This window comes from Homo sapiens, chromosome 2, assembly GCF_000001405.40.
Source record: "Homo sapiens chromosome 2, GRCh38.p14 Primary Assembly".
NCBI lineage: Eukaryota > Metazoa > Chordata > Mammalia > Primates > Hominidae > Homo > Homo sapiens.
In genome coordinates this window covers 84,951,767-84,966,915 of record NC_000002.12, presented here as the reverse complement: position 1 = coordinate 84,966,915, position 15,149 = coordinate 84,951,767, and the positions used below count along the sequence as shown (strand labels likewise).

Genomic DNA, 15,149 nt, shown 5'->3' with positions numbered 1-15,149 from the left:
TTTTTAATTCGTTTTCATCTTTTTTCTCAACTAGACTCCTCAAAGGCAGCGACCACATTGTTCTTTGTCTCTGGGATCCAGTAGTGTTGAATGAGTGAGTGAATGAACAAATTATTTATTTATTTATTTATTTATTTATTTTTTGAGACAGAGCCTCTCTCTGTCGCACAGGCAGGAGTGCAGTGGTGCGATCTCGGCTCACTGCAACCTCTGCCTCCCGGGTTCAAGTGATTCTCCTGCCTCAGCCTCCTGAGTAGCTGGGACTACAGGAGGGTGCCATGACGCCTGGCTAATTTTTGTATATTTAGTAGAGACGGGGTTTCACCATGTTGCCCAGGCTGGTCTCAAACTGCTGGCCTCAGGTGATCCACCCACCTCAGCCTCCCAAAGTCCTGGGATTACAGCCATGAGCCACCAGGCCCGGCTGTGAATGATGTAGAGCTGAAAGAAAAACTAATGGTTCTCAAAGTGCGGTCCAAGGTCCCCAAGAGGTGAGGTGAGGTGCTAGGATTTTCATGCTTTCAGCAAACAGCACATCCTAACAGATTGAATGCAGAAGAAGAGAATCCAGCTGTCTTCATTTAAGCCAAACATTAAAGAGATCTGAAAAACAATATCGTACTTCCACATTTTTTGGGAAAAAATAAGTTATTTTTCTTTAAAATGTGTTCTGTTACTAGATAGTGGGTTTATTACTGTTTTTAAGTGACTACGTTTTTGTTTGTTTGTTTGTTTGTTTGAGACAGTCTCATTCTGCCACCCAGGCTGGAGTACAATGGCGCCATCTCGGCTCACTGTAACCTCTGCCTCCTGGTTTCAAGCAATTCTGCCTCAGCCTCCCAAGTAGCTGAGATTACAGGCCCCCGCCACCACGCCTGGCTAAGTTTTTTGCATTTTTAGGAGAGATGGGGTTTTGCTGTGTTAGCCAGGCTGATCTCAAACTCCTGACCCGCCTTTGCTTCCCAGAGTGCCAGGATTACAGGCGTGAGCCACCACGCCCAGCCGACTATGTATTTTAAAAATATTTTCTCAGTTTTCTAATATGAAAAATATTGACAGATATAATACTTTTTTTTAAAGTTCTTAGGGCTGGGCACAGTAGCTCATGCCTGTAATCCCAGCACTTTGGGAGGCCAAGGCGGGCAGATCACGTGCAGGAGTTCAAGACCAGCCTGATCAACATGGTGTATCCCCATCTCTACAAAATATGCAAAAAATAATTAGCCGGGTGTGGTGGCACACACCTGTAATCCCCGCTACTCAGGAGACAGGAGAATTGCTTGAACCTGGAAGGCGGTTCGCTGGAAGGCAGTGAGCCGAGGTCGCACCACTGCACTCCAGTCTGGGCAACAGAGCGAGACTCTGTCTCAAAGAAAAAAAAAGGTTCTTTGGCGTCTTCGACAATTTTTAAGAATGTAAAAAGATTCTGAGACCAAAATATTTAAGAATCTGTGCCTTAGAGACTGTTAACAAAGCCCTCATTGTTCAAATGAGAAATGGTCATGATGCTGACATTTAGTGCTCTGGTACATGTGGCTGGCCTTATTGTAAGCACTTTACTTGAGGATACTATTATGTCTTCATGTTACTGATAAGGCAAGTGAGGCACAGAGAGGTTAAATTGACTTGCCCAAGGCCATGTAGCTAGTCACTGGTGGAACCACAATTTGAGGCCCTGATGTTGGCTACAGTTTTCTGCCACTTCCATGAAGTCTGGAAAGGGTCAGAAGGCCCAAATGCCATCTGGTTACTTCACCAGTTCTCTGTTATCTATCAATCTCACAGTCACTATGCAGGAGTCACTGAGGCCTCAATTCTGCTTTGCAGTCTTCATCCCAAATTCTGCCACCCTGAATGTTTTCAAGTATGGCCTTACAATTGGCCTTACAAGGCCTTGATTTTTTTCAAATCTGTGTGCACTTCCACTTCAACCACCCATTCCTCTCTTGTGACCATGCTCGAAACTCTAATAATCTGTCTTATTGTAACTTCCTATTTTTCAGTTTTCTTACTCTCTACCACTAAACCTTTTTTTTTTTTCTTTTAATGTCCAGCGTCTTGCTGTGTCACCCAGGCTGGAGTGCAGTGGTGCGATCATGGTTCACTGCAACCTTGAACTCCTGGGCTCGAGCAATCATCTTTATTTATCAGTGGACACTGAGTAGCTGGGACTACAGGCGTGCACCACTGCACCCAGCTAATTTTCTTATTTTTTGTAGAGACAAGGGTCTCGCTTTGTTACCTAGGCCAGTCTTGAACTCCTGGCTTTAAGTGATTCTTCCACCTCAGCCTCCCAAAGTGCTGGAATTAATAGGTATGAGCCACCACGCCTGGCCTAATCCTTGATGTTTGCACTTGCTGTTATGGTTTTTGTTTGTTTTTCTGAGACAGAGTCTTACTCTGTTGCCCAGGCTGGAGTGCAGTGGCCTGATCTCAGCTCACTGCAACCTCCGCCTCCTGGGTTCAAGTGATTCTCCTGCTTCAGCCTCCCGAGTAGCTGGGAATACAGGCGCCTGCCACCACGCCCGGCTAATTTTTATGTTTTTAGTAGAGGCAGGGTTTCACCATGTTGGCCAGGCTGGTCTTGAACTCCCCACCTCAAGTGATCCATCCGCCTCGGCCTCTCAAAATGCTGGGATTACAGGTGTAAGCCACCACGCCCAGCCGGTTTTTTCTTTTGTTTTTCCCTTTTTAACCCCATTCTCTACCTTATGCAACTGGTGCCCTGTGGTCAACTCAGACTTCTCATTCATGCCCTCAGCTCCTTAAACCCCTCATCCTCAAACTCTACCAGCTTTGCAAGCTTCCAAGCCTGAATTGCCTGACTCAGTTTATCCCTGTGTGTATCTGCTTGGGGTGTAGAATATAACAACTAAAAATGATAGAAGTGTACAGATTGTGGCTGTTATGAATCTAGGGCATTCAACTGCGGTTGGACCTCAGTGCCATTGAGCAATCTTTGTCTTTGGTCAGAACCCTCTTCTATAAACATTCACCACTTGGTTCCAACTGCTTACTCACCCACGTGCCTAATAGATAACCTCACCTCCTAATTCACAGAGGGAGGAAAGTTCAAAATGCAGGAACTTTCACTTCCCACTGTGAGCCTCCAAGGGAGTGTGTACATCTGCATCCTGCTGCCTCATGCATGGAGATAGCCTTTCTGTTCAACCTGTCATCTGTTATGATCCCACTTCATCCCATCAATGGGATCTTACTCCTTCAGCCACCCCCTTGGCACCTGTACTTTCAGCTGCTCAGCCTCTACTGGTCCGTTGCCCTCAGCCAAAAAACGCCCCTTCAACCCTGCACTCCTGGTTATTACCCTATTGTTTCTCTCTGTGGACAATCTTCTTGAAAGAATTGTCACTCCCCTTCCTCAGCTTAGAAACTGGTTTATCTGATTGCCTGACTTTTGGTGCTGTTGGTTACCCTCTCATTTTCTGGGATACCACTATCATCATCTTCTCTTTCATGTCTTTGCTGTTTTTGTATCCCCTATTGGATTGAGCAAAGTCATCAGCCTAGTCAAGTCACCCCCCAACAAGATGAAACACAACAGTCATCCTAGACTCCTTCCTCCCATTTATCTTCCATAGCCAATTGCCAAATCCTGTGATGTTTACCCATTAAACATCTGTCAAATCAGTCCCTTTCTCTTTATTCCCATGGCCACCAAACCATTCCAGGCTGCTATCATCTCTTCTCGAGATGTGGAGTGATCTTGGCTCCTCACTATCATACTCCCTTATGTGGTCCTTTGTACTGACCTGAGCAATAATGATGCTGAAGGCCCCACTGTTCGCTGCCAGCCCACAGAGAAGAAGTCTATGCCAGAGAACGAGTGACCAGAAGAGGCTATGCTCACAGAAGTCAGAGAAGCAGAGTCTTCAGGAAGGGAGAACATCGGTGTCCACCAAGCAGAGATACCTCATGAGATAGATTGAAGTGTGGCCCCTGGATTTCAGAAATGGATGTCATCTGTCCATGGAGGAGTAGGGTAAGAAGCTGCATTGCAGTAGGCTGAAGGGTGTCCTTGGAAGCCTAGAAACTGACAGTAGCTATAGATGACTTCTAGAAGATGAGCTGAAATAAGAATGTGAAACAAACTCAACCACTAGGAATCAAATCCAAATTAAAAGGAGACACCATTTCACCTCTTAAATTGGCAGAAAAATACTTTTAATAATACTTGATAATGAGGATGTCAAGAAAGGAATATGACTTGTTACAAGCATTCCAAATGGGATTTTATGGTAGGTTTCAAGAGCAATAGATTTTTGCCCATTCTTTGCCATAGTAATCCCAGCTCAACTCAGTCTATTTAAGTAATTACTGATAGATGCAAAGATTTTAGACACAAGAATGTTTATCACAGTGTTCTTTTTAATATTTAAAATTGAAAACCTATAAATTATTGTCTATCCAAACCAAAAGCAGCAACTAAAAATGGGTAATGAACTAGAAATATGATGTGTTTTTAGTGAAAAAAGCAGGTTACAAAACATTCTTTTCTAAATTATGTATGTACAGCCTGATGTCATTATTGTTTTTGTTTTTTTGAGACTGGGTCTTGCTCTGTCATCCAGGCTGGAGTACAGTGGCATGATCATGGCTCACTGCAGCCTCGACCTCCCAGGTTCAAGCGATCCTCCCACCCTCACTCTCCTGAGTAGCTGAGCCTACAGGCATGTACCACCAGGCCCAGCTAATTTTAAGTTTTTTTTTTTTTTTTAGAGTTGAGGTCTTGCTATGTTGCTCATGCTGGTCTCAAATTCCTGGCATCAAATGATCCTCCCACCTCAGCCTCCCGAAGTGCTGGGATTACAGGCGTGAGCCATGGCACCTGTCCTCATTTTTTATTTTTAATAAAACATGTAAAGATTGGATGGCTATCAGAGTCAATATGGTTATGGGGGTATAATATGGATGATGTATTTTTTTTTATGTTACCCAGGTTTGTTATATGGTATATAGCATGATGCTGAGGTTTGGGGTGTGAATGATTATATCACTCAGGCACTAAGCATTGTACCCAGAAGGTAGGTTTTCAGCCCTTGACTCACTCCCTCTCTCTTCCATCTAGTAGTCCCCAATAAATACATATTTATTGAGTCTTCTGGGTCCACTGAGGACACAATCATGAAAAAGAAAACTATGTCCCCATCCTGGAGGTGTTTACATTCTGGTGACAAAACTAATTGAAGCAGTTCTGATTGATGTTTTGAGAGCTTATGATAAGGTATGAAGGACTTTTTTTCCTTTTAGTTTTGAAATTTTCTGTAATGAACATATACACTGGTTTCATAGCCCTTTTGTTTCTTTTTTCTTTCTTTTGTATTTAAAGAAGCTTGGCAGAGGCCGGGCATGGTGGCTCACACCTGTAATCCCAGCACTTTGGGAGGCTGAGGCAGGTGGATCACTTGAGGTCAGGAGTTGAAGACCAGCCTGGCCAACATGTGAAACCCTGTCTCTACTAAAAATAACAAAAATTAGCTGGGCGTCATGGCACACTCCTGTAATCCCAGCTACTTGGGAGGCTGAGGCAGGAGGGTCACTTGAGCCCAGGAGCTGGAGGTTGCAGTGAGCCAAGACTGTGCCACCACTCAACAGAGTGAGACTCCGTCTCAAAAAAAAAAAAAAAAAAAAAAAAAAAAAAAGCTTGTCAGAGAAATAAATGAGAAATTAAAAGATGGTAAGTGGAGGCCCCAGAGTGAAGGGAAGTGTTTTTGGTTTTAGGAATAGGAGAGTCTAGTGTGTTTAGAGGTTTAGGGGAAGGATCCAGGAGAGGCAGCAGAGAACTGAAGGGTGTATGTGTGTGTGGAGCAGGGAGGTGGGGGTGGTGAGGGTGGGAGATGGAGGGGAGAAGGAGCCCAGATAAATTTAGCTTCCACCAGGAGCAGGATGCCTCTTCCTCTGCTGGTGCTATAGGAAGGTTGCCAATGGGCCGGGTGCGGTGGCTCATGCCTGTAATCCTAGCACTTTGAGAGCCCAAGGTAGGTGTATCACGAGGTCAGGAGTTCAAGACCAGCCTGGCCAGTATGGTGAAACCCTGTCTCTACTAAGAAAATACAAAAATTGGCCAGTGACGGTGGCTCGCACCTGTAATCCCAGCACTTTGGGAGGCCGAGGCGCGTAGATCAGGAGGTCAGGAGGTCAGGATTTCAAGACCAGCCTGGCCAAGATGGTGAAACCCCATCTCTACTAAAAATACAAAAATTAGCTGGGCATGGTGGCTCGCGCCTGTAGTCCCATCTACTCAGGAGGCTGAGGCAGGAGAATCGCTTGAACCCGGGAGGTGGAGGTTGCAGTGAGCCGAGATCGTGCCACTGCACTCCAGCCTGAGAGACAGAGTGAGACTCTGTCAAAAAAGAAAAATTGCCAGTGGAGATAAAGGTGTCCATTTGGGTAGGTCAGGAAGCTGTGGTATTCATGCCTCATGGCCTTCATTTTCTTAGAGCGTAGGGTAAAATCATGCCATTTTTTGCCTCTGTGCCTCATAAGTTTGTACTCCTTCCTCCTTTAAAAATCAGCTGTAAGAGCTGGATGTGCTGTAAGGGCTGGACGTGGTGGCACATGCCTGTAGTTCCTACTTGGGAAGCTGAGATGGGAGGACCACTTGAGTCCGGGAGGTTGAGGCTGCAGTGAGCTATGATTGCACCACTGCTCTCCAGCCTGGGTGACAGAGCAACACCTTGTCTCTTGGGAAAAAAAAAAAAAAAAAAAATCAGCTCCAGACCCCTGCCTTTGTGAACCTTTTCTTGAAGGAAAGAGTGTGGGTTGGGGCCACTTCCAGTGGAATCACCAGGAGGGGAGTGGAGGGAGGAGGGAAGGTGCTCAGAATAAACATTCAATGTCCCTGAGCATTCCTAGATCAACCGGATCAGGATCTCTGAAGGATGGGGCTCAAAGATTGGCATTTGAAAGAACACCCGTGGGGATCCTGATGGTGCAATAAAGTTGTAGAACCACCTCACTAAGTGCTCCCAATTCCTTTTACAATTCTCTATTATTGCAATTTAATCCTTTCACTTCCCCCACTGGGCTGCCCTTGGGCAGGAGTAGGTGTCTTTGTTTACATACTTGTAGCACAGCCCTGCAGTTGGCTATCATAGTGGGCTTTGGGTGCTTATTTGTGAAATGAATGATGTGTACAAAACTGGAACCCAGATGTCCTGATTCCCAGACTCATAATTTGCTCTATCACATTTTATCTCTAGAAGCTGCTGAATTCCTCAGGAAGGCATTTCCTGGTCCAACTGTGCCTAAAACTCATATGCCAATTTAAAAAGCACAAATCCACATAGAAAGATTCTCTGAAGAAGGAGACAGTGTATGGGGGATTGGTTGCTCTAAGGAAGATTAGAAAATGAGGTCACCTGAAAGTGAAGGGAGCGGGATGCACACAAAGTAACAAGCCCCTGGAGCAGGTCTGTTCCAAGTGTGTCACCCAGGTCTCCCCCAAAAACCATCAAGGAGTTAGAAACATACTGTGGAAAAGATCCCTAGAATGTAACAGTTAAGAAGCTGGATGCTCAGGAGGTAATGAGTCATAGAATGCTTGTGTGTGGACTGCATGGAATCCAGAAAAGGGGAAGCCATAGGTTAGAAATTATAGCGTCTCAGCTGGGCACGGTGGCTCACGCCTGTAATCCTAGCTCTTTGGGAGGCTGAGGTGGGTGGATCACCTGAGGTCAGGAGTTCGAGACCAGCCTAGCCAACATGGCTTCACCGTCTCTACTGAAAATACAAAAATTAGCCAGCGTGGTGGCGGACGCCTATAATCCCAGCTATTCAGGAGACTGAGGCAGGAGAATCGCCTGAACCCGGTGGGGTGGAGGTTGCAGTGAGCCAAGATCGCGCCACTTCATTCCAGCCTGGGTGAAAAAGCAAAACTCTTGTCTCAAAAAAAAAAAAAAAAAAGAAGAAGCAATTAGAATTTATAGAGTTGTTGTAATATCCAAAGGTATAGATGCTCTGATACCACTGGGTAGTGCTGTTAATTTAGAAAGAACTGGTCCAAAAGAATGCGAATTCATCTTAGGAGAAATGGGTGTTTCCACTAAGAACAGCTCATCCCTTTTCTTTAATCATTTAGTAACTCTTTATAGATTACCTCCAATGTGTCAGGGGCTGTATTCACTGTGTCTTGCCGGAGATATGACAGTGGGCAAAACAGGTACAGGACGTACCCTTGAGAACTCACAGTATTATTCTTGTTTATTCATCAGGTTTCTAACCTGTAATTTGATATGCTTTGTGGATTTGCCTGGCACTCTGAGCAAATGACCAAAACCAATTATTCTGCCAGGTAGGCCTCTGTTCTCACGTTAATAACATTCTAGTTGTGAGTCATTTATGACTTCGATGAGAGAGTATAAAACAAACAGTTCCATTAGGGGTTGGTTTTTCCCTGGACAAATGGGTACAGAGCTGGGCCTGCTGATGAGCTCAGCAAGAAGTCCCCACCCTGGGAAGCCCTGCCAACTGCCAGCACCTTGTATTCAGCAGGCTCTCAGCCACACACAGGCTAAGTCACAGCCCCTGGCCCCATTAGGAATGTGTGTATCCTTTCCTGCCTGAATGGCCCACTGAGAGGTCGTTGGGAAAATTCTTGGAGCGTCGGATTCCTGGATGTCTTGAATTCCAAAGAGCTTGAATCAGCACAAAGCTTAGGGCCCAGGGCTGTATTTTAAAGGAAGACGCAGCAGGGGCAGGTGATGGTAAATAGAGGAGAGTGAACATGGCGGGAACAGACTTCAGGCTGCACCTGTGACTGAGGACAGCCCCCAAATTCTTAGTTCTGAGAGAAACCCCTGAGGGCCAAAAACAGCATGCTCAGTTCCTGGTAATTCCTTAAAAACAGGCTTCTATCAGACCTGGCTCTAAAAAAACATTCACTCAGGCTGGATCCAGGTTTGGGGCCCTGAGGCTTATATATTTGGTACAGGCAACTCTTAAGAAAGAAGTGCAAAATTAGATATAGGGCTTGGAAGCCCTGTTTGAGGAAGCCAGGGACCCTGAAGTGTAAGCTTCAGTAGTTTCACAGTAAATCCACCTATGTGTTCATGCTGGAGAGTAAAAATATCCCATGTCTGTGATCCCAAAGGATCAGAGGGCTCTCTGGATGCTTAGAGGAAGGAAGGAAGCAGGGATGAGAGCAACTTCAATGTTTTAATTCATTGATCTTATTAATAAATCACATTCCCAGCCGGGCGCGGTGGCTCATGCCTGTAATCCCAACACTTTGGGAGGCCGAGGCGGGCGGATCACAAGGTCAGGAGATCGAGACCATCCCGGCTAACATGCTGAAACCCCGTCTCTACTAAAAATACAAAAAAAAAAAAAAAAAAAAAATTAGCCGGGCGGGGTGGTGGGTGCCTGTAGTCCCAGCTACTGGCTGAGCCTGGAGATTGGCATGAACCCAGGAGGCGGAGCTCGCAGTGAGCCATGATCGCGCCACTGCACTCCAGCCTGGGCGACAGAGCGAGACTCCGTCTCAAAAAATAAAAATAAAAAATAAATCACATTCCCTTTTCTTCATCCCTTACATTCAGTTAAAGGTTTAAATGCTAGACTTGGCCAGGCATGGTGACACACGCCTGTAATCCCAGCACTTTGGGAAGCCAAGGCGGGTGGATCACTTGAGCCAGGACTTCGAGACCAGCCTGGGCAACATGGCGAAACCCCATCTCTACAAAAAAAAAAATACAAAAAAATTAACCTGGTGTGGTGCTGCATGTCTGTAGTCGCAGCTACTTGGTAGGCTAAGGCGGGAGGACCACTTGAGCCCAGGAGGTCGAGGCTGCAGTGAGCCATGATTGTGTCACCGCACAACAGCCTGGATGACAGAGCAAGACCCTGTCTCAAAAAAAAAAAAGTAGATTCTGAGCTACTCGAGGACAGCAATCATATCTTATTTGTCTTTGAATCCCAAGTACTTTGCAAATAGCATTTGTTGAATGGATGAATGAATGAGTGAGTGAGTGAGTGAGTGAGTGAGTGAGTGAGTGAGTGAATTCTCCCAGGAACTGAGACCTGATAGTCATATATTCCCCTCTCCCTTCCTCTTGACTGCTCCGGCAGGTGGCATAGACTAATCATGAACTCTGGAGTAAGACCTGAGTTGAATCCCAGCTTTGCCACATACCATCAGGGTGACCCTGGGAAAGTTACCCAACATCTCTCAGCCTCAGTTTCTTTAGAAGGGAGCCAATAATACTTCCCCTCAAGGTTGCAGTGAGAATCAGTAATAAAGTGCCTGGTATGTCACAGTTCTCAACAAATGTTGACTATTGTATTATTACTTTAGGTCTGGGGTAGGCAAACCAGGCCATGGGCCAAATCTGGCCCCCCGCCACCATTTTTGTAAATAAAGTTTTATTGGAACACAGGGAACACAGTCATGCCTATTTGTTACTTTTTTTTTTTTTTAAACAGAGTCTCTGTCATCCAGGCTGGATTGCAGGGGTGCCGTCTCAGCTTACTGCAACCTCCACCTCCCGGGTTCAAGCAATTCTTCTGCCTCAGCCTCCTGAGTAGCTGGGATTATAGGCATGCACCACCAGGCCTAGCTAATTTTTCTTTTTTTTTTTTTTTTCTTTTTTTGCAATGGAGTTTCGCTCTTGTTGCCCAGGCTGGAGTGCAATGGCACGATCTCGGCTCACCACAACCTCTGCCTCCTGGGTTCAAGCAATTCTTCTGCCTCAGCCTCCTGAGTAGCTGGAACTACAAGCGCATGCCACCATGCCCAGCTTATTTTGGTATTTTTAGTAGAGACAGGGTTTCACCATATTGTCCAGGCTGGTCTCAAACTCCTGACCTCAGGTGATCTGCCCACCTCAGCCTCCCAAAGTGCTGGGATTACAGGTGTGAGCCACCGCGCCCAGCCCTAATTTTGTATTTTTAGTAGAGACTGGGTTTCTCCATGTTGGTCAGGCTGGTCTCGAACTCCTGACCTCCGGTGATCCACTCGCCTTGGCCTCCCAAAGTGCTGGGATTACAGGTGTGAGCCACCTCACCCAGCCTGTTACTTCTTATCCATGGCTACTTTTGTGCTACAATAGCATAGTTAAAAAATTGATACAGAGACCTTATGGCATGCAAAGACTAAAATATTTACCACAGAAAAAGTTTGTCAACCACATACCATCAGGGTGACCCTGGGAGAGTTACCCAACATCTTTCTGGCCCTACAGAAAAAGTTTGTCAACTTCTGATTTAGGCCTTTATCACTTTACTCTCAACTTGTAGTTGTCTCCTAACTGGTCCCCAAGCCTCTCGTCTTTCTCCCATTCTGTTCTTTCTCTACTCTGTGGCCAGTTGTTTCTTTTCTTTTCTTTTTTTTTTTTGAGACAGAGTCTCGCTGTGTCGCCCACACTGGAGTTCAGTGGCCCAATCTTGATTCACCGCAAGCTCTGCCTCCCAGGTTCAAGCAATTCTCATGCCTCAGCCTCCCGAGTAGCTGGGATTACAGATGGGTGCCACCACACCCAGCTAATTTTTGTATTTTTAGTAGAGACAGGGTTTCACCATGTTGGCCAGGCTGGTCTAGAACTCCTGACCTCAGAATGATCCTCCAGACTCAGCCTCCCAAAGTGCTAGGATTACAGGTGTCAACCACCATGCCCTGCCCTTCTTTTTCTTGTTTTTTTTTAGATGTGGTGTCTCTAAAAAGCCATTGCGGCCAAACTTTTTTGTTTTTTTTGTGTTGTGTTTTTTGAAATAGTGTCTCTTTCTGTCACCCAGGCTGGAGTGCAGTGGCATGATCATGGCTCACTGCAGCCCCAGACTCCTGGGCTCAAACAATCCTCCCACCTCAGCCACAGGAATAGTTGGGACTACAGGCACACATCACCACACCCAGCTGATTACTTTTTTTTTTTTTTTTGAGACGGGGTCTTGCTCTATCGGCTAGGCTAGAGTGCAGTGGCGTGATCTTGGCTCACTACAACCTCCACCTCCTGGGTTCAAGCAATTTCTCTGCCTCAGCCTCCCAAGTAGCTGGGACTACAGATGCCTGCCACCATGCCTGGCTAATTTTTGTATTTTTAGCAGAGATGGGGTTTCACCATATTGTCCAGGCTGGTCTTGAACTCCTGACCTTGTGATCCACCCGCCTCGGCCTCCCAAAGTGCTGGGATTACAGGCGTCAGCCACTGCGCCTGGCCCCAATTTTTTTTTTTTTTTTGTAGAGACGAAGTCTCACTATGTTGCCGAGGCTGATCTTGAACTCCTGGGCTCCAGCAATCTGCCTGCCTTGGCCTTCCGAAGTGCTGGGATTGCAAGCATGAGCCACTGTGTCCAACCCAGATGGACACTTTGGATAGAGTCTACTAGGCTTGCCTTTAGCTTTCTGCTGTCCTGTCGTCTCATCGCATCCTGTTATGTAGTCCATAGCTCACTTCATTCCAGGGGGCAGGTTGAAAGCAGACTCAGCTGTTTGTCCTGGGCTGATCCCTGAGTTCATGTTGCTGTTTCCCATAACTTCGCTTTATAATCTGGCACCAGGGAGCCAGTGGCCAGGGACAGTCAGTGAGCTTACATGTTTTCTTGGAAATCATCACCCATCCCTGGGCTTGGCCTTTAGTTTTCGTCTTGCGGTCCTGTCTTGCTGTCTTCATTGCTTGCCCTGTAGATTGGATTTTTGACTCTGAGTACCTGGAGCATTTGATCCTGCCTTTGTTCTCCTAGGCACTGATCCATCAGAACTCAGGGAAAACACAGGCTTAGAAATCAACACTGGCATCATCCCTGCACTGCATGGCCAGATCTGTGCCTCACTCCACATATCTTGGCCCCAGTATGATTTCATGTACATTCCCAAGAACTTTTGATGTAGACCTGGATTATAGCTACTATGTTTTATTGGGATTCGGTGTTGTAGCATGGGGTGTTGACATTGTCCCTTTTTGGGAACCCACCCCCAACTCCAATTTCTTTACCAATCCCAGTCTGCAACCTAATTCCTGATTTTGAGCTTCAACTTGTTCTTCTGTTTTTGGATACTGTCCCAGACTATTTTCTATCAGTGTTCTGAGTTTTCTTGAGTTTTTTGAACCGAGTACCTGTGCTCTCTCTCTCTGCACCACTGCTGCCACCATCCTAGTGCTGAGGCCAACTCTCAGAACTCAAATGGGCAGACATCAGGGATCACGGGTCCAGAAGTATAAATAGTGGCTCATCTCACACAATAGAGTTCATTCACTCATGGAAAGCACTTAGCGTAGTATCTGGCCCAGAGTAAGTCTATATAAGCATTACTGATAATTAGGATGTGCCAAAATGAAGCACATACTCTCTCTTATACAGGGAGATCTTTGGGGTAAAAAATGAAGGCAAATCACCAAGGAATGTGGTTCATTGGCATAATAATATGTAATTTTTTTTTTTTTTTGAGACGGAGTTTCGCTCTTGTTGCCCAGGCTGGAGTGCAGTGGCACAATCTTGGCTCTCCGCCTCCCGGGTTCAAGCAATTCTCTTGCCTCGGCCTCCCAAGTAGTTAGGATTACAGGCATGTGCCACCACACCTGGCTAATAATATGTAGCTTTTTAAAAATTATTATTATTATTTTTTTTAAGACGGTCTCACTTTGTCACCCGGGCTGGAGTGCAAGTGGCTCAATCACAGCTCACTGCAGCCTTGACCTCCTGGGCTCAAGCAAGCCTTCCACCTCAGCCTCCTGAGTAGTTGGAACTACAGGCGAGTGCCACCACATCCGGCTAATTTAAAAAATTTTTTTGTAGAGGTGACGTCTTGCTATGTTACTCAGGCTGGTCTCAGACTCCTGGGCTCAAGCAGTCCTCCTGCCTTGGCCTCCCAAAGTACTGGGATTACAGGCACGAGCCACTGTTCCCAGCCTAATCTGTAGTTTTTAAAGAAATGTTATTCACATACTATAAAATTCACACTCTTCTAAAGGTTTTTAGTATATTAACAAAGTTATGTAACCATCCCCGCTATCTAATTCTAGAACATTTTCATCAGCCTATACCCATTCGCAGTCATTTCCCGTTTCTCCCACCCTCGGTCTCAGGCTGCCATGAATCTACTTTCAGTGTCCATGGATTTGCCTATTCTGGACATTCCATGAAAACGGAATCATATATACTATGTGGCCTTTTGTTTCTGGGTTTTTTTTTTTTTTTTTTGAGATGGAGTCTCGCTCTGTCGCGCAGGCTGGAGTGCAGTGGTACGATCTTGGCTCACTGCAACCTCTGCCTCCCGGGTTCAAACGATTCTCCTGCTTCATCCTCCTGAGTAGCTGGGATAACAGGCACACACCACCATGACTGGCTAATTTGTGTACTTTTTTAAAATAGAGATGGGGTTTCACCATGTTGGCCAGGCTGGTCTCGAACTCCTGACCTCAGGTGATCTGCCCGCCTTGGCCTCCCAAAGTGCTGGGATTACAGGCATGAGCCACTGCGCCAGGCCTTGTGTCTGTTCTTTCACTTAGCACAACGTCCTTAAGGTTCATCCATGTTGGAGCATGTCTCAGTACATCTCATGGCTGCATAATATAGCCTATTGTATGGATATACCACATTGTGTTCAGCCATTCATCAGTTGATGAGCATTTGTGTTGTTTCTACTTTTGGCTATTGTGAATAGTGCTGCTATGAACATTTGTGTACCAGTTTTATGTGGACACTTGTTTTCATTTCTCTTGGGTGTATACCTAGGAGTGGAATTGCTGGGGTATATGGTACCTCTGTTTAACTTTTTGAGAAATTGCCAAATTGTTTTCCACAGCAGCTGCACTGTTTTACATTCCTACCTTCAGTGGATGAGGGCTTCAATTTCTACACACATCCTTATTGACACTTGTTATGGTCCCTCTTTTTATTATATCCATTCTAGTGGATATGGAGTAGTATCTCGTGGTTGTGATTTGCACTTCTCTAATAACTAATAATGTTGAGCATCTTTTCTTTTCTTTCTTTCTTTTTCTTTTTTCTTTTTTGAGATGGAGTCTCGCTCTGTTGCCCAGGCTGGAGTGCAGTGGCACAGTCTCAGGTCACTGCAACCTCCAACTCCTGAGTTAAAGCGATTCTTTTGCCTCAGCCTCCCGAGTAGCTGGAATTACAGGTGCCTGCCACCATGCCTGGCTAATTTTTTTGTATTTTTAGTAGAGACAGGGTTTTGC

At 45.8% G+C, this 15,149-nt stretch overlaps 5 annotated features.

The window, feature by feature from the left end:
• Nucleotides 6,387-7,076: an enhancer, noted in NCBI's record as "OCT4-NANOG-H3K27ac-H3K4me1 hESC enhancer chr2:85186963-85187652 (GRCh37/hg19 assembly coordinates)". NCBI's record gives its function as "activates a minimal SCP1, AML or CMV promoter by ChIP-STARR-seq in naive and primed H9 embryonic stem cells {active_cell/tissue: H9 hESC(naive and primed)}" and the evidence as "EXISTENCE:reporter gene assay evidence [ECO:0000049][PMID:30033119]".
• Nucleotides 7,077-7,766: an enhancer, noted in NCBI's record as "OCT4-NANOG-H3K27ac-H3K4me1 hESC enhancer chr2:85186273-85186962 (GRCh37/hg19 assembly coordinates)". NCBI's record gives its function as "activates a minimal SCP1, AML or CMV promoter by ChIP-STARR-seq in primed H9 embryonic stem cells {active_cell/tissue: H9 hESC(primed)}" and the evidence as "EXISTENCE:reporter gene assay evidence [ECO:0000049][PMID:30033119]".
• Nucleotides 7,767-8,457: an enhancer, noted in NCBI's record as "OCT4-NANOG-H3K27ac-H3K4me1 hESC enhancer chr2:85185582-85186272 (GRCh37/hg19 assembly coordinates)". NCBI's record gives its function as "activates a minimal SCP1, AML or CMV promoter by ChIP-STARR-seq in primed H9 embryonic stem cells {active_cell/tissue: H9 hESC(primed)}" and the evidence as "EXISTENCE:reporter gene assay evidence [ECO:0000049][PMID:30033119]".
• Nucleotides 8,458-9,146: an enhancer, noted in NCBI's record as "OCT4-NANOG-H3K27ac-H3K4me1 hESC enhancer chr2:85184893-85185581 (GRCh37/hg19 assembly coordinates)". NCBI's record gives its function as "activates a minimal SCP1, AML or CMV promoter by ChIP-STARR-seq in primed H9 embryonic stem cells {active_cell/tissue: H9 hESC(primed)}" and the evidence as "EXISTENCE:reporter gene assay evidence [ECO:0000049][PMID:30033119]".
• Nucleotides 8,476-8,770: a silencer, noted in NCBI's record as "tiled region #477; K562 Repressive non-DNase unmatched - State 18:Pol2". NCBI's record gives its function as "represses a minimal TATA promoter and a strong SV40 promoter by Sharpr-MPRA in K562 cells {active_cell/tissue: K562}" and the evidence as "EXISTENCE:reporter gene assay evidence [ECO:0000049][PMID:27701403]".